At 38.5% G+C, this 26,360-nt stretch overlaps 1 protein-coding gene across 23 annotated transcripts in view, besides 1 other annotated feature; it reads left to right on the forward strand.

Annotated features, from left to right (window-relative positions):
- The window catches only part of CNTN6 (contactin 6), a 311,194-nt gene that overhangs the window by 126,464 nt on the left and 158,370 nt on the right, over positions 1–26,360 (forward strand). For all 23 annotated transcript variants that reach the window (XM_011533590.3, NM_001349351.2, NM_001349354.2 and 20 more), the window contains 2 exons: positions 1,200–1,326; positions 8,331–8,506. In XM_011533590.3, coding sequence (XP_011531892.1) covers positions 1,200–1,326; positions 8,331–8,506 — 303 coding nt within the window. The remainder of the gene's footprint in view (positions 1–1,199; positions 1,327–8,330; positions 8,507–26,360) is intronic.
- Positions 16,014–17,213: an enhancer, noted in NCBI's record as "BRD4-independent group 4 enhancer chr3:1277185-1278384 (GRCh37/hg19 assembly coordinates)". NCBI's record gives its function as "activates an origin of replication core promoter dependent on BRD2, P300/CBP, MED14 and CDK7 cofactors, and independent of BRD4, by STARR-seq in HCT116 cells {active_cell/tissue: HCT116}" and the evidence as "EXISTENCE:reporter gene assay evidence [ECO:0000049][PMID:35650434]".

Consider the following 26,360-nt stretch of genomic DNA (forward strand, 5'->3'; position numbering starts at 1 on the left):
TTTATTATTATTTTTGAACATCTTTATAGACCCTTTTATTATATGTGCCCTTGGCATATAGCTCCTACCAATACAGGGAAGAGTCTGTGACTTGCCATTGATACCTGACTATTCAGACAAGCCCAAATGAGGTGAAACTTTACCACATAACTGCCTTGTGATCTAAGGTGTTAAAGTCAGGGAAATCAAGGAAAGACTGTGGAATTGTTGCAGATTGAAATAGACTAAAGAGACATAATTAAGAGAGGCCATGCATGGTGGATCATGCCTGTAATCCCAGCACATTGGGAGGCTGAGGTGAATGGAATGCTTGAGCCCAGAATTTTAAGACAAGCCTGGCAACATGGTGAAACACCATCTCTACAAGAAAACAAAAATTAACCTGGCATGGTGGCAAAAATTAACCCAGGAGGGCTAGGTGGGAGGTTCACCTGAGCCCAGGAGGTTGAGGCTGCAGTGAGCTGTGATTGTGCCACTGCAATTCAGCCTGTGCAACAGAATGACAATCTGTCTCAAAAAATAAAAAGAAAATAAAAAAGAAAAAAAATATCAACTGGATTCTTTTGGTGTAAAAGATTTTATTGGGGGCCAGACACAGTGGCTTAATCCTGTAATCCCAGCACTTTGGGAGGCTGAGGTGGGAGAATGGCTTGAGGTCAGGAGTTTGAGACCAGCTTGAGCAACAGAAGGTGACTCCATATAGCCAGGCATGGTGGCAGGCACCTGTAGTTCTAACTACTTGGGAGGCTGAGATGGGAGGATCACTTGAGCCCAGGAGTTAGAGGCTTCTGTGAGCTATGATCACACTACTGCACTCCAGCTTGGGTGACAGAGTGAGACACTGTCTCTACAACAAAAATGAAACAACAAAAAATAGAATTTTATTAGAAAAAATGGGAAATGGGACCTGAAGATTAGCTGCTTAGAGCTGAATCAATGTTAATTTCTTGATATTGTTGGTTTTGGGGGTGTTATGCCCTTTGTTTGTTGGAAATATAAACTAATTTATTTGGGTAATAGGGGATTGGTTTACAAGAGAAAAAAATTCTTTGTCCATTTTTGTAATACTTTTTGTGAATTTGAGATTGTTTTAAAATAAAATAATTTTAAATATGTATATTGAATTGATATTTAATATAGACTTGCATTCAAAACAGGGCCACTTTTTTTTCATGTGATTTATTCTTTTCTTTTCCCAGGTGATGGTCTTTTAAGCCGTCCTATTTTTACTCAGGAGCCACATGATGTCATTTTTCCTTTGGATTTATCAAAATCTGAGGTCATCCTGAATTGTGCTGCTAATGGTTACCCTTCGCCTCATTATAGGTAAAATCCTACCTGTGGGCACCACACTATTTTGTTCTTCCTCACTGAACCAAAACATACACAAAATAAAGTGTTTTATAAAATGTCCTAATTTGTAGTGTACAGCTCAAGGAATTTCTCTACGGGTATGCAGCCATGTGACAATCACTCAGATAAAGATATAGGCATTTCCAGTACCCCAGGGTATTCCCTCATGCCGCTTTCCAGGCAATAATTAACCCCCTACCCACCAGCTCCAGGTAACCGTACTTATGTCTCTGTCTTATTGATTAGGTCTGCTTAGAACATTTATTCTTGAGATTGGTGCCATGCATTGCCTTATTGTGGTCAGAAATGAGAGAGAGAGAGAAGAGAGATAGGGGAGAGAGAGAAGAGAAAGACAGGAAGCAAGTAACACAGGAAGCCAGGAAGAAAAGAAAGATAAAAGGAAAGAAAAAAATGAAGAGAAAGGAAAAAAAAAGATTTGTTTCCTCAATTTGAAAGACTAAAATGTAAGCTCATTTTGCATTTCCCACCCCTGCCTCAATGCGGAACTGCAGCCTCAGTTGCTGCATATGCAATGATTATGAAAATGTTCTATAAGGAATGAATCCAGATGGATATCTAGATTTATTTCATCAGATAAAATTATGTGACTTCACTGGTGGGTCACATCACCCAAAAATACTGATTTTAGAAAAATATGTTGAAGACAGCTATGTACCCTCTAAGGCAGAAAGGGAATTTTTATTCTGGGCAAATAAGAAAAAAAAACCTATATTTGTTTCTCACATATTATTTGTGGAATTCTAGGGAGAAAGGGTCAGTAAGTTTTTGTTCTTATTTATCAAGTTGTAGCAAAGGCAGAATTTGCTTCATATTGTGGGTGGAATTTACAAATTTAAAAATATATGCATACGTAAATATTCATAGGTAAATACTACAGATATTTAGTTAGTAGAAACTTCATATGTAGTGTTAATACAGGAAAAGAAAATACATATTAAACTTTTGTAGCTTTGGGTTTTAAAACCTTTTTTTAAGTCTTGTTTTACAGATGTGAAGTTGATATGACACACACAAAGAGTAACAACTTCAGTGTATTTTGGCAAAATAAGCTGGTTTAGCCTGATTTTATTTTGCAGTAAAAATACACTCTTGATGTGCATAGTTATTTAGATCCTAAAATTGTCTAGATTAATGAGTTAAATGACTTAAATGCACTTAATTAGCTAAATGACTTCAAAGCTAAAGGCAATTCTACCTTATCTTGAATTTTTTTGAGCTAACTTCAGTGTCTTCTTTTTACAACAAAGGAGCTGAAAAACCATGTCTTCTCATTCCACAGACTAAAGCTTCCTTGTCTTTATCATACCCAAACCAGTGAAACTCATCTGTCAGGGGAAGATCCTTCACTTTGCAAATTTGGGACACTCAATTCAGAGTTTGTTGATTTGTTAGTTTTTCTTAAATGATGAGCTGTCCTATTAGTTTAATATATGGTTAAATATATGAAAATTTGATTAATACATTTAGTGAGATCACCTAATACTTAAAGTAGTAATTTTATGTTTGAGAGCTAACTAGGTTGATCCTAGGGGTTAGTAGAGAAAGAATATAAGAATTCCTATAACATTTTTTGAAAGTTTGCTGAATATAAGACAGACACATAAATACATAAATTACATATTTATATAAAAAATCTATTGGCTTTTAACAGTTAGAAGGATATAAAATAGGTTCTCAAGATAATTTGCTAATTAGTTTTATCTGTGAAAAAATAGAATGAAGGCAACAGTTTTCAATGTTGTTAAATGGCTTTTATTTCTAAGATCCTTGTAAGCTAAAAGGCTAAAGACAAGTAATTTATGTGCTTATTTCCAGCCCCCATAACCTGGTTTGGCTCATTTCTTTTTTTTTTAACTTTTAAGTTCAGGGGTACATATGCAGGTTTGTTATATAGATAAACTTGTGACATGGGGGTTTGTTGTACAAATTATTTCATCATCCAGGCACTAACCCTGGTGCTTATTAGTTATTTTTCCTGATCCTCTCTCTCCTCCCATCCTCCATCCTCCAGCAGGCCCCAGTCGTTGTTCCCCTTACTCATAGACAAGAAACTATGGAAAGAGAGTGAGAAAAGAATTAAGTTTTTAATGCTTAAATGTCAGACTCAGGCCCAACTTTATTGATAATAAAGCAAAGGACAGAGGTATTTCAGATAACGTGCATTACCAACAAAATGTAAAAGTTCAGTTTTAATATGACCCTTTCTAACTTAAATTTTATTTTTTAAAAAGCCTCACAACTATATTCACCTTAGATGGTGTGTGTGTGCATGTGTGTCTTAGAAGGAAAGCCTTCACAATTCACAGATTCTAACGTTATTTGAGGTTACCTGGGTATAGTGTAAAGCAACATAAAAGAATCCTTGACTTAAAGTTATCATTTCTAGTCACAGCTCTATCAATCCATTGGTGACTTTGGAATAATCATTTTTCTCTCCTGGCGTCATCTTCCTTATTCATAAAATGAGGCTGGGTTTGATTTTAAGATGTGTTTTCTTTCTTTTAGTAAATTCCATACAGCAAATGAAATCTCAGGGAAAATAAGCAATATTAAAAGCAAACTTTTTGAAAGAGCTTAAGCTTGCCCATGAAAAAGGATTACCCTTTATTCTTTCAAAGATCACATAACACATGAGAATATGAAGTCCAGCCCTGAAGCCCTGCAAAGGGAAGAGAAATGGGCTACCCAAAGATGGTGCTTTGGAAGGATTGCTTATACCTGGAAAGTCTAGGAAAATCATGTAGCAATGAACTTAGTTCTACCTCAGAATATATATTTGATTTGGAAAAATGAAATAACATACACATAAATTATTTCTAAATAGAATATACTCTCTATCAGAAAAAAGGATTTCTGACAATCTTCTCTCTACCTGGTCACCAGAGGAGACTCCTTTCTGTAATTTAGTCTACTCTACCCTAGTCATGAACACAACCTTAAGTCTAGAGAAGCTCTAGGCCTCTAAGAAAAAACTATAATAGTAGTGACTCTGCCCTTCTGTTCTTTTTATTCATTTCCCGCAACTTTATCCTTTTAACAATCCTGTGAGATAAGCAGAATATACATTATTGCACACATCGTATAATTTGTGAAATGACTTCTGGAGAAATCAGAAGGCTTGTTCAAGTATATGCAGCAAAGGAACGTCAAAGCTAGGACTAGGATTCTTTCCACAGGGGTCACAGACTCAAATTCAGTGTACATCACAATCACCCAGAGAGACTTAAAATTTAGATTTTGGTGTTCTCTGTCAGAGGTCTGGGGATGGGCTCAGAAATAAGCCAGGCAGAGAGAGACAAATATCATCTGATCTCACTCATATATGGAATCTAAAAAAAGTTGATTTCATAGAATCAACTCATAGAAGTAGAGTGTAGAATGGAGGTTACCAGAGGCTGAGTCAGGGAGGGGCAGGAAGGGAAAGGGGACAGGTGGGTCAAAGGGTGAGAAGTGACCTTTAGACAGGAGGAATAAGTTCTGGGATTCATTTGGACAGTAGAGGGATTATACTCAATGATAATGTATTGTATATTTCAAAGGAGCTGGAAGAGAAGATTTTGAATGCTCTCACCACAGACAAATGATAGATTTTTGAGGTAATGAATATGCTCATTACTCTGATTTGATCATTACAAAATGCATACATGTATGAAAACATCACATTACTCCCTATAAATATGTGCAATCATTATTTGTCAATTAAAAATAAATAAAACTCAAAAAAAAAGAAACACATTCTTTCAGCAAATATACCATGTAATTCTAAAGCACAGCCTAATTTTGAAAAACACCAACAGGCACAAGCGCGCACACATGCACACACACACACAAACACACACATATTACGGAAGGACAGCCAACAAACACAGCCCACAACCATTATTCTTTTTTTGTTTTTGTTTTTGAGACAGTCTTGCTCTGTCAGCCAGGTTGGAGTTCAGTGATGCAATTTTGACTCACTGCAACCTCTGTCTCCCAGACTCAAGCAATTCTCCTGCCTCAGCCTCCCGAGTAGCTGGGATTACAGGCGTGTGCCACTATGCCCGGCTAATTTTTGTATTTTTTTAATAGAGACTGGGTTTCACCATGCTGGCCAGGCTGGTCTTGAACTCCCGACCTCAGGTAATCAGCCTGCCTCGGCCTTCCAAAGTGCTGGGATTACAGGCGTGAACCACCGCACCTAGCCCAGCCATTATTCTTGACACAGGACTGAACTACTTAAAAGTGAAGGATGTTTCCCAACAAAGGGTCGAGATTTTAGTTCACATCCATTATGTTTTCTGGAACTAATATGATATTAATTCAGATGCTAAAAGCAATCATTTAAAACACATTTCCTAGGTTGCATCATAGGAAGACACTTGTCAGTATGCAATTCTATCAGAAATGTGTGCATGACAATCATTTGAATTCATTAATACTGTTTCTCCATTGATTTAGACATATTAATTAGGACAAAGCCCACACCAGGAGTTGAACCCCTGATCTATATGTACAGTTTAATAATCATTGTACCGTAGTGATCAGAATGATTATGGGGATACTGTGAAAAATTCATTTGCTGCCGCTAAGCCAACAACTTTGAATTTGTGTTGAAAAACAATTACTGAGCTTAATTAGGAGCATGTAATGATGACAGCGGTTATTTCAGTGATTGATTCCAAAATTAAAAGGAGCTGGCAAACTAAATATGGTATATCCTATGCTTTGAAAACGATAGGGAACATGGAAGTCTAAAGAGCAAATTATCAAAAACTATATTAGAGTGCTGGCAAGGAGAATATTGGTGTCTTGAGACAGGCCTAAAGAAAGAAAAGTTTTGAAGGGTTTTATTATTGTTTTTTTTTTTTTTCACTTTTTTCTTACCCTAATATTGAAAACGAGCAGTCTCTACAAATTCCTCTAGAAAAAAATGATCGCAGAAAATCTAGGCAAATGAAATGTACTCTTTAACTGCTGTCTTTCAACTTCCAGGTGTGCAGGAAATGGCTAAATAATTTCAAAGTTAACAGAGTTGGTTCAAAACCTTTGATTGATTTGACATCTGATCCATCACATCTCATCTTTAACATGGTAGAGGATTACCTAAATTCATATTTCTTTTCTACTTTGGTAGGCATTTGTCAGATTCTCCCCATGGGATGTTTGAAGACGCGCCCGAAGAAGTCAATGACATTTGAATTAATTCTGTATTTTTAGTAGAGGCGGGGTTTTGCCATGTTGCCCAGGCTCGTCTCAAACTCCTGGCCTCAAGCTATCTGCCCACCACGGCCTCCCAAAGTGCTGGGATTACAGGCATGAGTTTCTGCACCCAACCTCTTTGAATTAATTATGTAAAATGTCATTTTTTAAAAAATTAACCACTCCCACCAAAATATTTTTAATATGATTTTGGTATAAAGGGGAGAATCATAGCAAAGCTGGCATAAACCCTAAAAAACACAGTTTGGAAACTGGCTATATTCCATAGGAAAAGATCATTCACTTGTTTTCCTAGATGACTGTGATGGGGTTCAGGACATACCACCTCAAAATATGGCACCTTGGCATTTGAGAAAATAGCAGAAGCAGGAAGATCATTCTCACCTTCCCCTCACTCTTCTTCTCTGAAGCAGGTCATAAAACCTTTATTCCAGAGGTATCATTTCTATATCCAGAGGAAAGAAACACCCTTTTCCTCCTCAAAGACACAGAGAAATCAAGAAGAATTGGAACAAAAGGCCTTGCTAACTTCCCGCCAGTTTCTTACCATTAGATCATACCCTCTTTTTACAATCATACTTCTGCAGGACTGTCTACTCTTCATCAAAACTAGCATTAAAAACACACAGGTTTTCCTGTTTTTTAGGATTTTTTTTCTGAAGGCTTTCATGTCATGGAATATTTATATTAAATAAAATTATATGTTTTTCTGTTATTAATCTTCCTTTCCTTTTAGAGACCTCAGCCATGAACTTAGCAATGAGTGAGAAAAGATATTTTTCTACATGCACAACTGTTTGTCATTATTCAATAGTTTTAAGTGTTTATTTTAAAAAATGGTCTATGTGACTATACACAGCCTGTGCCCTAGGAATGTATCTCATTAGATATATACGATTCATGCTTCAAAATATTTGGGGATTTTGATGGAGTTGGGAGTTTCAAGGTAGGAAAAGTGAGTCTGGTTAGAGATAATAATCAGGTATTCATTTGTCTTAAAAATGACCAAATAAAATTTCTAAAACTAGTTATGAATCTTTGAAAGTAAATATAACTCTAAGACTCTTCAGCTAGTTAATTCATGTACTAAAGAATTGTTGACTAATAGCTAAGCCAAGAGAATTTTTGCTTCTCAAAATAAAAACCTCTCAAACAGCATTTGCTTTGCTAAAGTATAATTTTAGTTTGGCATTTCTAAGTACCATTGAAATATTTTCAACATGATTAATTTTCCAAGTAACATACTAACAGAGGTAATCATGTTCTAAAGTAGTCAGGTTATTATTGTTTTGTTATCAGCCCTGAATTGGCGTTGTAAAATTATGCTTGCCGCTTTCAATATACGCTTCTTGAATTCCTATCTTTAAATCATTTTGACATTCAATTTTGTGCTACCAGTTGTGGATGTTCAGGTAAGGTATATGTTATTTGAAAAGTCACTAAAGGAATAGGTTGGCCAGTATTATTGACTGACTGTCTAATTTTTATTTCTCATGTTGAGAGTTCTGTTTCCTCTTTGTATACATTTGGGTGAATGTAACTTATAAAGAGTACATCTTTCAAATAATCTAGTTACTGATCTCACCAAACCCACCAAGACAGCTACCTTTGGTAAAACTGGTAGGATTACCTCCACATGTAATCATGTTTTTTGGTGTTTTTTATAGTTGCAGGAATTAGAACTACATGTTTTTTAAGACAAAGATTGATTGACTCTGTATATTATAAGCACTTTATTTTTTTTTTCCTTGAAGGTGGAAGCAAAATGGCACAGACATTGATTTTACTATGAGTTATCACTACAGGTTGGATGGAGGCAGTCTTGCAATCAATAGCCCCCACACAGATCAAGATATTGGCATGTACCAGTGCCTGGCCACCAATCTTCTGGGGACAATTCTGAGTCGGAAGGCAAAGCTCCAATTTGCATGTGAGTTTGGGGTAAATTTTGTAATCTTTGTCTCTGAAAATATAATATTCTTCTGATACACACATTTTAAAAATCTAGCTTTGCCAATGATATATTTGAGAATGAATATGACTTTATGGGCTTTTGACAATGTTCATTTTGTGAATCTAGATTCTTGGGTATAATAGAAACCTGCTTCTAAAAAAAGAATAAAAAAAACAGGGAAAAGATCAATGTTATTATATTTTGTGAATTATTTTTAGAAACATTTCTAAAAGTTTCAGACATAAATATTAAGATAAAGATGTATGATATAGCATTCTTTTTCTTTTTCTTTTGCATTGGATATTAATGCAATGTGGAGAGCACAGGAAGAAAAAGCTGAGGGCAGAGAGGTCATCTGGGGGAGGTGGGCGTTCTCCCAAGAAAAGCGATCATGCACCCGTAGTTTGATGTAGGTGGAAATAAAGTGGTTGCCAAAGGCAGGCTTTATATTAACTGTAACAATGTCCAGCTGCATCACATAAATGTCATCCAAGTAATTACCCTGGTGACATTTGGGGACATTAGCAGATGAACAATAGACATACTGCGTCTAATATCCTTTATATATAGTGTTTCCAGGGACTGAAATGTTTCATACTGGATTCAGCAAAAGCCTTGCTTGAGAGTAATTATATCTGTTGATGTGGATAAAGTAGAAGGCTTGCATTTCTCCCTTTGCACCAACCATTATGTCCCAGAGGATCTAGCCAAGGAACCAAAAAGTGAGCTGCTATACCTGCAGGGCTCATAGAAATGTCTATACTGTCTGTTACTTTGAAAAAGTAATTGTTCTGAAATTTTATTAACAAATACATGACCAAAACTCACCTTGTGAAACTACTTCAGTCATCAGTAGATACATGAATTAATAACTGGGTCTGTTTCTCATTGCAAGTCTTGTGTTCCAAAGATTATTCTACACCAGAGATCCCTTGATCTACACAGAGTTCTCTTTATGTTGACCATTTTGGGGATGGCCTTGCTTCTGATTTTACATACACCACATACACATACACACATGCACACACATATACATATATACAGATATACACACATAAATATGTTGCTAACTGTATCCAAATGTATTTGTATCTATGGAAGTAAGAAGTGAACGTGGAAGTTTATTAACCTAAATAGAAGGTGGGAAAGGGCCAGTGGCTACTTTCGAACATAGGATAAAAATATTTATAACACTTGATTTCTTCATTTCAGCTAAGACTATCACCTGGAAAAATAATAGGGAACAAAATAACATAAAAACTTATGTTATAGAAATAAAGAATTGTTCCAGACTTTGAACGATTCTGCCACAGTAATTGTTTATTTCTCCTGCTTGGATAGGAGATGACCCTACAACATACACATGATATGAATCAGATTCCATAATCATAAATTTGACTCTTTGGTAAAGGAAACTCCATACAGCATATTTATTTGCTATACCCTCGAGTTTCTCTACAGTTATGATTCTATCTACTCTCGAAAACAGTTGAATGTCTACATCTCAAATCAATGCACTCTTTGATATAACCATAGATTTCTTCTCCTTTGTTCTGTACTTTTTAACAAAAATATGTTTTAAAATGTCCTACATTATTATATCATACCTTCTTTCTGCTTTAAAAATTTCTTGCAACGAGAAGTTTCTCTAGTTAAAACTTATTTTGTTTATGCCATATCAGAATAAAAGTCTCAATTAAGAAGAAATTATATGCTTTCATCTGGCTAAATGGGACAAATCAATTTTTCTGTCCTTATTGACTTTCCCATCTTATCATAAAATTTTCCATTTTGGGGCAGAAGGTGTATGACTGTTGATCTTGAAAAGCATTTCTATTACCTTTAATGCAGAAAGTAAGATGGCCTATATCCATTAACTAATCTTTCTTCTGCAAAGTTAAAGGATCTTAGGCTCTAAGAGCTTGCAAAAGCAAGGACCACAACATGGTGGTGGTGTCATGTCTGAAATATTTCTCATTGTATCCGGGGAGACATGTGCGAGAGTGTGGAAACAGAGAGTAAAGGGTATAAATGCCAGTCCCCAACCAAATGGAAAGTTCCTAAAGTGCATGAACTGTACCTTCATCTTAATTATAATTCCTCACAACCTCCTTCATAAATTTTTAACAATATCAATTGTGATAGAAAAGGCCTTTGGTAGGATAACCACAGCAGATAAATGCTGAGATTTTGGGAAACAGAGAGGTGTGAGTTCAAATTCTTTTTGTCAAATATCTAGTGGTATGAAATTAGGTCTTTTCTTAACAACGTTAAGCTTCTGTTAAGAAATCTATACGATGAGGATACAGCAGTAGCCACCACATAGGACAGTGACATGGAGTCACTGAGAAAATGAAGGTCAAGTCCCTGATCCATTATGGACCCTAGGGAAATGACAGCTCTAATTCTTTCTTTCACTATTATTACCTATCTCAACTTAGACAGACATCTATATATTTCAAACCACTTGAGTTTCTTATGGAAACTCTCCTAGTTTAGTTTACATTTGAAAACTTCCTAAAGGCTAGTTTCTTGTTCTTTTCTTTTCATGTCAAATATAATACATGTGCTTTGACATATATTATTTCACTTGAATTGGACAACAGCTGTAGGAGGCAGTTGCTATCATTGCCCCCATTTTACAGATTAGAAGCCTGAGGCTCACTGATATTGGGGCTTTCTTAAAGTATGTTGTTAGAGAAAAGTTGGAACTTGTGTATAGACAAAGAAGACTTCAGACTCTAAAACTCATGCACTTCATGTCACAGTATTGAGTCCTTCTCAAACACTGACCACACAGTTCATGTGGGCCTTCTTTCTTTGTTTCACTTGCTGGCACAGTAATTGTCTAAATAATAAACTGTATCTTCAGGACAGAATGGGTCAAATAAGCCTGGTAGTAGAGGCTGGTGATTCCTTGTCCACATCCGCTTTTGCAAGTGATGTGCCAACCCCCAGCTATGAATACCCACAGATATCCCTTTTTGCATTTCATGCCCCAAACCTCTCCATGGGATCAGGCTGAAACCAGACAACAGCTGCAACACCTTAATTAGCTTCTTCACTTGCTGTTTCCTTCTTCCCTCCCTGCCTTTCTCCTAAGAGGATATCCTCAATAAATCATATGCACTTGAATCCTTGCCTCAGGCTCTGCTTCTAAGGAATCCAAAGCGAGACAGAGATTAAACATTTAATATGAGATTGCCGATCTACTTACTGACAGAAAAAAGCGGGTGCAGAAGCCCCACTCCCATGAACTCCCATAGATAAGAACAAGCTATGCATCAGAATAAAAATGGATCAACTCCCTTGCTTCCTGTCCGTTGGCAGTCCATTGTAAAATGTCACTTTGACCTTCAGAATGAATGGCCTTATGAACAACCTTTCAGAATCTACCCTGTCCATGGCAGAAACGCTGCAGGGACATACCTCTAGATAATTGATGGCTTTTGTTTGTCACTTTTATCCTGGTATTCAGTAATCCAAAAGCACACTTTGAGTTTATTTTAGACACAGACTGTAACACTCTGCTTCATTATGAATCGTCTCATCATGAAACCATCCTGAAATGTGGCCTGTATATAAAAACTACCTGTTGTGAAACATACTCCTAAATCAAATCTGTCTTTAACCAACTATGTAACTTAGACAAGTCATTCAGTTCTCTGGATTTAGCTAAAGTATATTTTGAATTATTTGATTACAAAAGTCTCTTTCAGCTATTGTCATATAATCTGTCCTTCCAAATACTCAGGTAGATCCTATTTTAAGTATCTCTTTCTTCCCCAACCCAAACTCTACCCTAAAACAAATTCAGCAGGAGTCTAGTCACCAAAGGCTTCTGTTATCATCCTGGCATTCTTGAATGATAAAACTAGTTTGACTTCCAAAATCACTTGTAGCTGCTTTCAATTTCTTTTATTTATCAAAGCTTTTGGTGGTAAAGGTTGAACTTAGACCTCTTCCTTTTGTATGTATGTATGTTAATGAATTACTCTGTACTTGTGTGAGAGAACATTGCATCTGTCATTGCTGTTTAAAATGTCATCCTTGAGAAAATGAGATAGGTGTTTTGAAAGAAACCCATGATATCACTCAGATGTAATTTTTAAATGCCCTTATAATATATAACTCTACCAATGAAAAGATAAACATTTATGATAAAAGGTAGTCATGAATGGGGCTTTTTGATCCTACATTATTTAATGTGTAATCACAGCTAGCATTTCAAATAAGTTTGCTCCATTATTGCAAAAGGAAAGGCAGCTGGGCTGGAGCCTCCTAATTGACCCTTCATTTATTCATCCTCCAAGCAACCGGAGAACACCTAATTTATACCCATCAAGTACTACACTAGGTCCTAAAGATTAAATGGTAGATAAGAAACAGCTACTTCCTGTCTCAACAGAACAGACAGGGGAAACCTTTAATAAAATTAAAAATAAGAAAAGGAAAATAAAGGAAAGTGCTAACGCCTACAAAGTATTATGTGGCAGGCATTGTTCCAAACTCTTTATGTAAATTAGCTCCATTGATCCTCACAATAACCCTCTGAGAGTATCATGATCTTCACTTTCAGATAAGCAGATTGAGGCACAGAAGAATGAACTAGCCTGCCTAAAATCACACACCGTATGTGGGAGAGTCTGTTTTCAAATCCAGACAGAGTGAAGAGTCCTACCACCTACTGCACTGTCCCAAAACATCAAGTGAAGTGAGAAAGGTGAAATTGACCTATAACAGAGTGGAGCTCAAAGTGAGAAGTAGTGAAGTTTGTCTGAATTGGAGAAAAGGCAAGGGAAGCCTTTCAAAGGAAATGGGGCTTGCATTGAACCTTGACATGTTAGTTTGTATTCTGGACAGAGAAAGTGGTAGAGAAAGTACAGGTCGGAAGAACAGTAAGAGGAAATGCAGATGTGTGAACAATCTTCAAGTATCGAAGAAAGTGTGGGGAGGTGGGCAAAAGACCTGAGAACTGAAATGCAGAAAGCTAGGGATCAGAAATGACTGGTTTTCTAGGTTGAGACTGAAAACTAATTTGGAGCCACTTATAAGTAGTCCTTTATATCCGGGCCTAATCTGCAAACAATAGGATAATTTAGAGATATTATGAGATGCCAAAGAAACATGCAAAAATCCATCATAGTACAATATTCCACACTCAGTATGACACTGTGTACGGTGTTAATTTATGGTTAAATGCCAGTATTGCCCATTTCATATAGGGTTACTATGAGGACCAAATATATTATGTGGAAAGCAGAGGGCAAGGGCAACTGATAGACTGGTATGAGTTGAAGATGGTGAGCTAGGCAGGGGTCTGGCCATACAAATACTAAGAGGCCAAGTTTTGTATTTTACTGCTTATCCTAAGAGCAATGGAACCGTTCTGAATAATGTTAAGGATGTTGAAGTTGTTTATAAAATGTAGTTTGAAGCCAGGCGCGGTGGCTCACGCCTGTAATCCCAGCACTTTGGGAGGCCGAGGCGGGCGGATCACAAGGTCAGGAGTTTGAGACCAGCCTGGCCAACATAGTGAAACCACGTCTCTATAAAAAATACAAAAAATTAGCCGGGTGTGGTGGTGTGCACCTGTAATCCCAGCTACTCGGGAGGCTGAGGCAGGAGAATCGCGTGAACCCGGGAGGCAGAGGTTGCAGTGAGCTGAGATCGTGCCAGTACACTCCAGTCTGGGCAACAGAACGAGACTCTGTCTCAAAAAAAAAAAAAAAAAAAAAAAAGTAGTTTGAAATACCACATACTATTTCCTTAAATATGTTAGTCTGACATATTAATGATATTATTAATATTATCAAAACCATAGCACACATACTTAGGGGGCATCCCAAACCTCAGTTTTTATCATATACAATGGAGTGAACGAATTCTTGCACCACATCACAGGATTGATTTTAAATGGTTCAAGGTTAAAATGCAGTAAGAATGCATTTTAAAGGGCTATAAACATGTAGGCATTTACAATCATCATAGTTTTTTCCAGAGGAATGCAAAGGGTTTTACACCTGCCATGCCATTCATCTTTATTCTATACCTGTAAGCTATTCTTAACCATGTTTTACAGGTGAAGACATTAAAAGGCAGGACAACTATGTTACTTGCCCAAGGTCAACTAACCTACAGCAGACCCAGAATTTCTAACATTTCCTTCTTGAAACAACTTTTTAAATTTATATTTATTTTGTAGACAGAGGAAGTAAATCAGAATTCTCATGAATTTAATGCCATATTCAAAGAAAAACAAAAAAGGTAAAGTCGTAACATAAAGGTCTTTGACTCCTTGCAGAAGGATTCTAAGATATTTGTGTATTTAAAGGTGATAAATATTTTTATTTCTATCTTTTGACCAGGGTCTTATAAGCAAGAACAAAAACCCTCACATTTAGAAATAAATTTTAAGAGTTTCCAAATTTCTTTAAAATTCTTTCATATATAAGAAATATAAAAGCAGTTATATGTGCTCCCGATGATATGGTGATAAAGTGCATTTATATCAGAAAAAGAAATTAAGACCCAGCAGAAGAAGCTTTAAAAATAACACTTAAAAATGCTTTTGGAAATTGTAAAGTCTCCGATAATTGCGAAGTGCGTATTAAGTGGGTAATGCATACCTAATTATAAATGAAAATGCTAAATGGCTTTTAACCTTTTTTCTACATCAGAAAAGAACTAACTGAACAAAAGCCATGAAGAAATATTTTTTCTTTAATTTCTTAAATTAAAAAAGTTGGTAAATTAGTATTGATTTTTTCAGTATCATTTGCAAATAGCATAAGCAATGTTACAATGGATTTAATATTCTCAATTTGTCTTAATGAAATAACAGCATAACCACCAATTGTTATCATATCAAGGAGAAAACTTTGTCTTTGCTTTTAAAAATAATTCAGATCTTAAACAAATAGACTGTAAGCAGTTGCGTGGTTAAATTATAGCAAGCCACTGTTATATTTATATTTAAAATCAACAGGGAAGTAGATTATTCAATGCTTTAGCCTCATTTTTTCCCACACTATCGCTGCTGGAAATCTATTTATGTGTCTTATCAGAAATGGTACTTTTTCAAAATTCAGGCCTTCTCCCACTGCCTACTTCTACTTATATTCAGCAGGAGCTAGTCTTTTTAGTTCATTTGAATAAAATTGTGCAGGCTAAGAGTTGGGATGGGAGAGGAAAATATAAGAAAGTAGGGGATCCATTCTATCAAAACTGGGAGTTTCTGATTTACAAAACTGAGACAGATGCACAAGCTGAAATGCTTGTTTATTACTCATGTTATTTGACAAACTGTTTCAAGGAATTTATGAACATAGCACATAGAGATTTTGCTTCTAAGATTTATAAAATTGGTTCAAATTACAGTGACATTTTTTGCATTAAAGGATCAAATATTTCTATTGTTTATTTATATATAAATAAATATATAATACATATAAAGAGCATTTATAAGTAATAATGTGTATATAATTATCTGAATTTATATCCAATATTGTCTAAAAAGTAAATCAGATTCAGGTGTTTAAATAGCAAATACAGGAGAGAAGATGGCGGATAAGCAGCAAGACTAGCTTGCAGCTCCTGCTGGGAGGGATAGAGCAGCATGTGGAGACTCACATCATACTTTGCCCCAGAAACTACCCCAGGAACATACCAGGAAAGCCGAGAGAATCCACAAACCCTTTGAAAGAACTGGATCACCGCTGCAGGCTCCCTGAGATGCAGAAAAACTGTGAGTCGGCTTGCTTTCTCAATAGGGAGGCTGGTGGTCTGGGGCAGGTTCTCAGCCCTGGTCACTAGCTGTCTGGAAATAGACTCAGTGCTGCTGGGGGCGGGTGGGGCATGGTGGGAGTGAGACTGGCCTTTAGGACTCACGCTGTGTGGGGGTGGGGTGAGGCCTGTGACTGCGTTTTCCCTCACTTCCCTGGTGAACTGTATGACTCAGCAGAGGCAGCCATAATCCCCCTGGGAATATAACTCCATCGGACTGGGAACTGTACCCCCATCCCTCACAGCAGCTGCAGCAAGCCCCACCCAAGGAGAGGCTGAGCTCAGACACACCTTATCCCTATCCCAGTCTGGTGGTCTTTCTCTATGTGTCCTGGTAGCCAAAGACAAAAGTCATAATGTCTTGAAAGCTCTATCGCCCTGCCCACCACCTGAGAAACCTGAATACTTTTGCATCCTCCGTATAGGACCACAGCTGATGCACTCCCGAAGCGCCATCTCCTGACTGGAGGCCAACCAACACAAAACCAGCGCTAAACAAAAACGCAACCAAGGACCCTCACAGAGTTCACTTCACTCCCCTACTACCTCCACCAGAGCAGGTGGTGGTATCCACAGCTGCAAGACCTAAAGATGGATCACATTACAGGACTCTGCAGACACTCCTCAGTATCAATCAGAGCCTGGTAGCTCCACTGGGTGCCAGATCCAGAAAAGCAAAGCAATCACTACAGTTCAGTTCTCAGGAAGCCCCATTCCTAGGGGAAGCGGGAGAACACCGAAACAAGGGAGCACCCCATGGGACAAAAGACTCTGAAGAGCAGCCCTTGAATCCCAGATATTCCCTCTGACATAATGTACCCGAATGAGAAGAAACCAGAGAGACAATAATGATAATATGACAAAATAAGGTTCTTCAACTCCCCCAAAAGATTATGCCAGCTCACCTGCAATGGATCCAAGCCAAGATGAAACTTCTGAATTGCCAGGAAAATAATTCAGAAGGTTAATTATTAAGCTAATCAAGAAGGCACCAGAGACCAGGCGCGGTGGCTCACGCCTGTAATCCCAGCACTTTGGGAGGCTGAGGCGGGTGGATCACAAGGTCAGGAGATCAAGACCATCCTGGCTAACATGGTGAAACCCTGTCTCTACTAAAAAATACATAAAATTAGCCAAGCGTGGTGGTGGGCGCCTGTAGTGCCAGCTACTTGGAAGGCTGAGGTAGGAGAATGGCGTGAACCTGGGAGGCAGAGCTTGCAGTGAGCTGTGATCACGCCACTGCACTCCAGCCTGGGCAACAGTGCGAGACTCTGTTTCAAAAAGAAAAAAAAAGAAGCCACCAAAAAAAGGTGAAGTCCAGCTTAAAGAAATTAAAAACATTATACAGAAAATTAAAGGAAAATTCTTCAGTGAAATAGATAGTATAAATAAAAAACAATCACAAGTTCTGGAAATCTAGGACACAGAGTAATGTAAAATGCATTGGAAAGTCTAAGCAATAGAATCAAACAAGCAGAAGAAAGAACTTCAGAGCTCTAAGACAAGGCTTTCAAATTAACCCAGTCCATCAAAGACAAACAATAATAATAATAATAATTCTTAAAAAATGAGCAAAGCTTCCAAGAAGTTTGAGACTACATTAAATACCCAAACCTAAGAATAATTGGTGTTCCCGAGGAAGAAGAGAAATCTAACAATTTGGAAAATATGTCTGAGAGAATAATCCAGGAAAACTTCCTCAGCTTTGCTAGAGATCTAGACATCCAAATACAAGAAGCTCAAAGAACATATGGGAAATTCATCACAAAAAGATAATCACCTAGGCATATAGTCATTAGGTTATCTAAAGTTGAGACAAAGGAAAGACTCTTAATAGCTATGAGACAAAAGCATCAGGTAACCTATAAAGGAAAACCTATCAGATTAACAGAAGATTTCTTAGCAGGAACCCTACAAGCTAAAAGGGATTGGGATTCTATTTTTAGCCTCCTTAAACAAAACAACTATTAGTCAAGAATTTTGTATCCAGTTAAAGTAAGCTTCATAAATGAAGGAAAGACACAGTCTTTTCCAGACAAATAAATGCTGGGAGAATTTGCCACTACCAAGCCAACACAAGAACAGCTAAAAAGAGCTCTAAATCTGAAACAAATCTTCAAAATACACAAAAATAGAACCTCCTTGAAGCACACATCTCACAGAACCTATATAACAATAACACAATGTTTAAAAAAAAAGAAAAGAAAACAGAAAACAAAACAAAAAAAAACCACAAGGTATTCAGGCAACAAAATAGCACGGTGAATAGAATAGTACCTCACATCTCAATACTAACATAGAAAGTGAATGGCCTAAATGCTTCACTTAAAAAATACGGAATGGCAGAATAAACGAGAATTCTCCAATAAAGTCTCTGCTGTCTTCACGAGACTCAACTAACACAGAAGAACTCAAATTTACTTATAGTAAAGGGGTGGAAAAAGATATTCCGTGCAAATGGACACCAAAAGCAAGCAGGAGTAGCTATTCTTCTATCAGACAAAACATACTTCAAAGCAACAGCAGTTTAAACAAACAAAGAGGGACATTATATAATGATAAAAGGATTAGTCCAACAGGAAAATATCACAGTTCTAAATATATATGCACCTAACACTGGTGCTCCCAAATTTATAAAACAATTACTACTATACCTAAGAAATGAGATAGATGGCAACACAATAATAGTGGAGGACTTTAACACTCCACTGACAGCACTAGACAAGTCATCAAGACAGAAAGTCAACAAAGAAACAATGGACTTAAACTATATTCTAGAACAAATGAACTTAACAGATATTTACAGAAAATTCTATCCAACAACTGCAGAATACACATTCTATTCATCAGCACATGGAACATTCTCCAACATAGACCATACGATAGGCCACAAAATAAGTCTCAGGAAATTTAAGAAAATCGAAATTATATCAAGTACTCTCTCAGACCACAGTGAAATAAAATTGGAAATCAACTCCAAAAGGATCCTTCAAAACCAGGCAAATACATGGAAATTAAATAATCTGCTCCTGAATGATCAAACAAAAAGCTGCCTCTTTGAAAAGATAAATAAAATTGATAGACTGTTAGTGAGATTAACCAAGAAAAGAAGAGAGAAGATCCAAATAAACTCTATTAGAAATGAAGCGGGAGATATTACAACTGATATCACAGAAATACAAAAGATTATTGAAGGCTACTATGAACACCTTCACATGCATAAACTAGAAAACCTAGAGGAGATGGATAAATTCCTGGAAATATACAACTCTCCTAGATTAAACCAGTAAGATATAGAACTGGAACAAGATAGGGATGCCCACTTTCACTCCTTCTATTCAACATAGTACTGGAAGTCCTAGCCAGAGCATTCAGAAAAGAGAAAGAAATAAAGCGTGTCCAAATTGATAAAAAAGAAGTCAAACTGTCTCTGTTTGCTGACGTTACGATTGTATACCTAAAAAGCCCTAAAGATTCATCCAAAAATCTTCTGGAACTGGTAAATGAATTCACCAAAGTTTCCAGATACAAAATTAAAGTACACAAATCGGTAGCTCTGCTGCCTACCAACAGTGACCAAGCTGAAAATCAAATCAAGAACTCCACCCCTTTCACAATATCTGCAAAAACAAACAAACAAACACTTAGGAATATATCTAATCAAGGATGTGAAAGACCTCTACAAGGAAAACTATGAAACACTGCTGAAAGAAATCATAGATGACACAAACAAATAGAAACACATCCCATGCTCATGGTTGGGGAGAATCAATATTGTGAAAATGACCACACTGCCAAAAGCAATCTACAAAGTCAGTGCAATTCCCATCAAGATAGCACCATCATTCTTCTCAGAACTAGCAAAAACAATCCTAAAATTTACATGGAACCAAAAAAGAGCCCACACAGCCAAAGCAAGACTAAGCAAAAAGAACACACTGGGAGGCATCACGTTACCTGACTTCACCTTTTTCTCTGAGGCCATAGTCACCAAAGCAACATGGTACTGTTACAAAAATAGGCACATAGACCAATGGAACAGAATAGAGAACCCAGAAATAAAGCCAAAAACTTGCAGTCAACTGATCCTCAACAAAGCAAACAAAAATATGCAGTGTGGAAAGGACATCCTATTCAACAAATGGTGCTGGGATCATTGAAAAGCCCAGTGTAGAAGAATGAAACTGGATCCTCATCTCTCACCTTAAAAAAAATCAACTCAAGATATATCAAAGACTAAATATAAGACCTGAAACCATAAAGATAATGGAAAATAACATTGGAACAACACTTCCAGACATTGGCTTAGGCAAAGATTTCATGACCAAGAACACAAAGCAAACACAACAAAAACAAAGATAAATACATGGGACTTAATTAAACTAAAAAGCTTCTGCACAGCCAAAGAAATAATCATGAGAGTTTACAGACAACCCACAGAGTGGGAAAAGATCTTCACAATCTATTTATCCAACGAATGACTGATATCGAGAATCTACAAGGAACTCAAACAAATCAGCAAGAAAAAAACAAACAATCCCATTAAAAAGTGGGCTAAGGACATGAATAGACAATTCTCAAAGAAGATATACAAATGGCAAGCAAGCACAAATGGGAAAATGCTTAACATTGCCAATTATCAGAAAAATGTAAATCAAAACCACAATGCAATACGACCTCCCTCCTGCAAGAATTGCCATAATCAAAAACTCAAAAAATAATAGACATTGGCATGGATGTGGTGAAAAGGGAACAGTTTTACACTGTTGGTGGGAATGTAAACTAGTACAATCACTATGGAAAACAGTGTTGGAGATTCCTTAAAGGACTAAAAGTAGATCTACCGTTTGATCCAGCAATCCCACTACTTGGTGTCTACCCAGAGGAAAAGAAGTTATTATACTAAAAAAAAAAAAAGAAAAAAAAGAAAAAAATTTCATGTGTGTCCGTGTGAAGAGACCACCAAACAGACTTTGTGTGAGCAACATGGCTGTTTATTTCACATGGGTGAAATAAACCCATGCACCTTCACGTGGGTGCAGGCGGGCTGAGTCTGAAAAGAGAGTCAGTGAAGGGAGATAGGGGTGGGGCTGTTTTATAGGATTTGGGAAGGTGATGGAAAATTACAGTCAAAGGGGGTTGTTCTCTGGTGGGCATGGGTGGATCTCACAAAGTACATTCTCAAGGGTGGGGAGAATTACAAAGAACCTTCTTAAGGGTGGGGGAGACTACAAAGTACCTTCTTAAGGGTGGGGGAGATTACAAAGTACATTGATCAGTTAGGATGGGGCAGGAACAAATCACAATGGTGGAATGTCATCAGTTAAGGCTGTTTTTACTTCTTTTGTGGATCTTCAGTTACTTCAGGCCATCTGGATGTATACGTGCAAGTTACAGGGGATGCGATGGCCTGGCCTGGGCTCAGAGGCCTGACATTCCTGCCTTCTTATATTAATAAGACAAATAAAACAAAATAGTGTTGAAGTGTTGGGGTGGTGAAAATTTTTGGGGGTGGTATGGAGAGAGAACGGGCGATGTTTCTCAGGGCTGCTTCAAGCGGGATTAGGGGCAGTGTGGGAACCTAGAGTGGGAGAGACTAAGCTGAAGGGAGGTCTTGTGGTGAGGGGTGATATTGTGCGGATGTTAGAAGAAACATTTGTCGTATAGAATGATTGGTGATGGCCTGGATATGGTTTTGGATGAATTGAGAAGCTAAACGGAAGATACAAGGTCCGAATTAAAAGGAGGAGAAAAATGGGTATTAAAGGACTAAGAATTGGGAGGACCCAGGACATCCAATTAGAGAGTGCCCAAGGGGGTTCAGCATAATTACTTGCTTGGTTGGCAAGTTTTTGGGCTCTATCCTTGAGTTTTTTTATGTTGTCATACACCAGGCCAGATTGATTTAGGTAAAAACAACACTCCTCATTTAAGAATATGCAGAGTCCTCCTTTTTCAGCAGTAAGTCAGTCAAGGCCTCGGCGGTTTTGGAGGACAACTGCAGCTAAAGAGTCAACTTGGGCCTGGAGGACTGATAAAGTTTGTGATTTTGAAGGCCTCTAAAAGTATTAAAGCAGCAGCAGCCGCTGCACGCAGACATGAGGGCTAGGCTAAAACAGTAAGGTCAAGTTGTTTGGACAGAAAGGCTACAGGGTGTGGTCCTGGCTCTTGTGTAAGAATTCCGACCATGCTAACCATGCCTAGGAAGGAAAGGAGTTGTTGTTTTGTAGAAGGTGCTGGGGTTTGAGAGATCAGTCGGACACGATTGGCAGGGAAAGCACGTGTGTTTTTATGAGAATTATGCTGAGATAGGTAACAGATGAGGAAGAAATTTGGGCTTGATTGAAGTAATGGGGGCTGTCTGTGAAGCTTTGCAGCAGTACAGCCTTGGTAATTTGCTGAGCCTAATGGGTGTCAGGGTCAGTCTAAGTGAAAGCAAAGAGAGGCTGGGACGAGGGGTGCAGGGGAATAGTGAAAAAAGCATCTTTAAGATGGAGAACAGAATAGTGAGTTGTGGAGGAATGGATTGAGGACAAAAGAGTGTAGGGGTTGGGCACCACAGGGTGGATGGCAAAACAATTTGGTTGATAAGGCGCAGATCCTGAACTAATCTGTAAGACTTGTCCGGTTTTTGGACAGGTAAAATGGGGGAATTGTAAGGAGAGTTTATAGGTTTTAGAAGCCCATGCTGTAGCAGGCAAGTGATAACAGGCTTTAATCCTTTGAAAGCGTGCTGTGGGATGGGATATGGGCGTTGAGCGGGGTAAGGGTGATTAGATTTTAACGGGATGGTAATGGGCATGTGATCAGTTGCCAGGGAAGGAGTAGAGATGTCCCATACTTGTGGGTTAAGGTGGGGGGATATGAGAGGAAGACGCGAAGGAGGCTTTGGGTTGGGGAGAAGGGCGGCAATGAGACACAGCTGTAATCCAGGAATAGTCAGGGAAGCAGATAATTTGGTTAAAATATCTCGGCCTAATAAGGGAACTGGGCAGGTGGGGATAACTAAAAAAGAGTCCATAAAAGAGTGCTGTCCAAGTTGGTACCAGAGTGGGGGAGTTTTCAGGGGTTTTGAAGCCTGGCCGTCAATACCCACAACAGTTATGGAGGCAAGGGAAACAGGCCCTTGAAAAGAAGGTAATGTGGAGTGGGTAGCCTCCGTATTGATTAAGAAGGGGACGGACTTACCTTCCACTGTGAGAGTTACCCAAAGCTCGGCGTCCGTGATGGTCTACGGGGCTTCCAAGGCAATCAGGCAGCGTCAGTCTTCAGCTGCTAAGCCGAGAAGATCTGGGAAGGAGTCAGTCAGAGAGCCTTGGGCCAGAGTTCCAGGGGCTCTGGGAGTGGCTGCCAGGTGAGTTGAACAGTCCGATTTTCAGTGGGTTCCTGCACAGATGGGACGCGGCTTACGAGGAATCCTGAGCTGCGGGCATTCCTTGGCCTGGTGGCCAGATTTCTGGCACTTGTAGCAAGCTCCTGGGGAAGGAGGTTCTGGGGGAACGCCTGGCTGCTGCGGTTCAGGTGTTTGGAAGTTCTTGTGTGCTGGAGATGTGGCTGGGGTTTGTGTCACAGTGGAGGCAAGGAATTGCAACTTTTTTCTATTATTGTACACCTTGAAGACGAGGTTAATTAAATCCTGTTGTGGGGTTTGAGGGCCGGAATTTAATTTTTGGAGTTTTATTTAATGTCGGGAGCAGATTGCGTAATAAAATGTATTTTGAGAATAAGACGGCCTTTTGACCTTTTAGGGTCTAGGGCTGTAAAGTGGCTCAGGGTTGCTGCCGAGCGAGCCATGAACTGGGCTGGATTTTTATATTTGATGAAAAAGAGCCTAAACGCTATCTGATTTGGGATAAAGAAAAAGAAGCATTAACCTTGACTATGCCTTTGGCTCCAGCCACCTTTTAAAGAGTAAATTGCTCGGCAGGTGGGGAAGAGCTAGTCACAGAACGAAACTGTAAGCCAGACCGGGTGTGAGGAGGGGAGGCTGAGGAAGTATTGGGACTTAGCTGGGTCTGGCAATGAGCAGCTTGGGGAGGACGGGAAAGGTCAGATGGGTCTGTAGAAAAGGAAGACTGGGAAGACTCAGCGATGCTTGGGGTTGGGACCAAGGGGACAGGCGGGAGGGAAAGAAGGAGGATCTGGGAGGAATCGCATTGGGAACAGAGGCTAGGGAGGGAACGAAGTGTGAAAAATGCCTGGACGTAAGGCACCTCAGACCATTTGCCCATTTTTCGACAAAAATTATTTAGGTCTTGTAGGATGGAGAAATCGAACGTGCCGTTTTCTGGCCATTTAGAGCCATTGTCAAGTTTGTACTGGGGCCAAGCGGTGTTGCAGAAGAAAATAAGGTGTTTAGGTTTTAGGTCAGGTGTGTGTTGAAGAGGTTTTAAGTTCTTGAGCACACAGGCTAAGGGAGAAGAAGGAGGAATGGAGGGTGGAAGGTGGCCCATAGTGAAGGAAGCAAACCCAGAGAAAAGAGAGCGTAGAGACACGGAGGGAAGGGGTTTGGGGGTTCTTGCCTCCTAGAAAAGTGGGACTTGCCGCTGAGGGTGAAGGAGAAGGGGTTGAGGGGTACTTGGCCCTGCCCCAGGAAAGCGGGACTTGCCGCTGAGGGTGAAGGAGAAGGGGTTGAGGGGTACTTGGCCCTGCCCCAGGAAAGCGGGACTTGCCGCTGAGGGTGAAGGAGAAGGGGTTGAGGGGTACTTGGCCCTGCCCCAGGAAAGTGGAGAAGAGGTAGAGAGGTAGGAACAAAGAGCAGGAGGACGGGGGATTGATCTCCCAAGGGATGTCCCCCGATCCGAGTCACAGCACCAAATTTCATGCGTGTCTGTGTGAAGAGACCGCCAAACAGGCTTTGTGTGAGCAATAAAGCTGTTTATTTCACCTGGGTGCAGGTGGGCTGAGTCCGAAAAGAGAGTCAGCGAAGGGAGATAGGGGTGGGGCTGTTTTATAGGATTTGGGAAGGTGATGGAAAATTACAGTCAAAGGGGGTTGTTCTCTGGTGGGCAGGGGTGGATCTCACAAAGTACATTCTCAAGGGTGGGGAGAATTACAAAGAACCTTCTTAAGGGTGGGGGAGACTACAAAGTACCTTCTTAAGGGTGGGGGAGATTACAAAGTACATTGATCAGTTAGGATGGGGCAGGAACAAATCACAATGGTGGAATGTCATCAGTTAAGGCTGTTTTTACTTCTTTTGTGGATCTTCAGTTACTTCAGGCCATCTGGATGTATACGTGCAAGTTACAGGGGATGCGATGGCCTGGTCTGGGCTCAGAGGCCTGACAAAAAATCTTTGCACACACGTGTTTATATTAGCACAATTTGCAATAGCAAAATATGGAAACCAACCCAAATGCCCATCAATCAACAAGTAGGGTAAAGAAAATGTGATATATATATATATATATATATATATATATATATATATACACACACACATATATATATAACATATATATATATATATACACACACATATATATATAACATATATATATATATATATATATATATATATATATATATATAGCATGGAATACTACTCAGCCATAAAAAGGAATGAAATAATGGCATTCACAGCAACCTAGATGGAATTGGAGACTATTATTGTAAGTGAAGTAACTCAGGAATGGAAAATCAAACATCATACGTTCTTATTCATATGTGGGAGCTAAGCTATGTGTACACAAAGCATAAGAATGATACAATGGATTTTGGGGATTGGGGGAAAGGGTGGGGGTTGGTGAGGGATAAAAGATTACATATTGGGTACAGTGTACGTGGCTCAGGTGACGGGTACGCCAAAATCTCAGAAATCACCACTAAAAAGCTTATTCATGTAACCAAACACCACCTGTTTCCCAAAAACCTATTGAAATAAAAAAAGGAATATAAATAAATAAATAACATTATTGGAACAATAAGAAAGCCAAAAACAAACAAATAAACAGCAAATACAAATAATAAAGAGTTTTGATGGAAATCCATTGAAATGTTAATTATGTTTTAAAGCAGGAGTGTCCAATCTTTTGGCTTCCCT

This window comes from Homo sapiens, chromosome 3 (genome assembly GCF_000001405.40).
Source record: "Homo sapiens chromosome 3, GRCh38.p14 Primary Assembly".
Taxonomy (NCBI): Eukaryota; Metazoa; Chordata; class Mammalia; order Primates; family Hominidae; genus Homo; species Homo sapiens.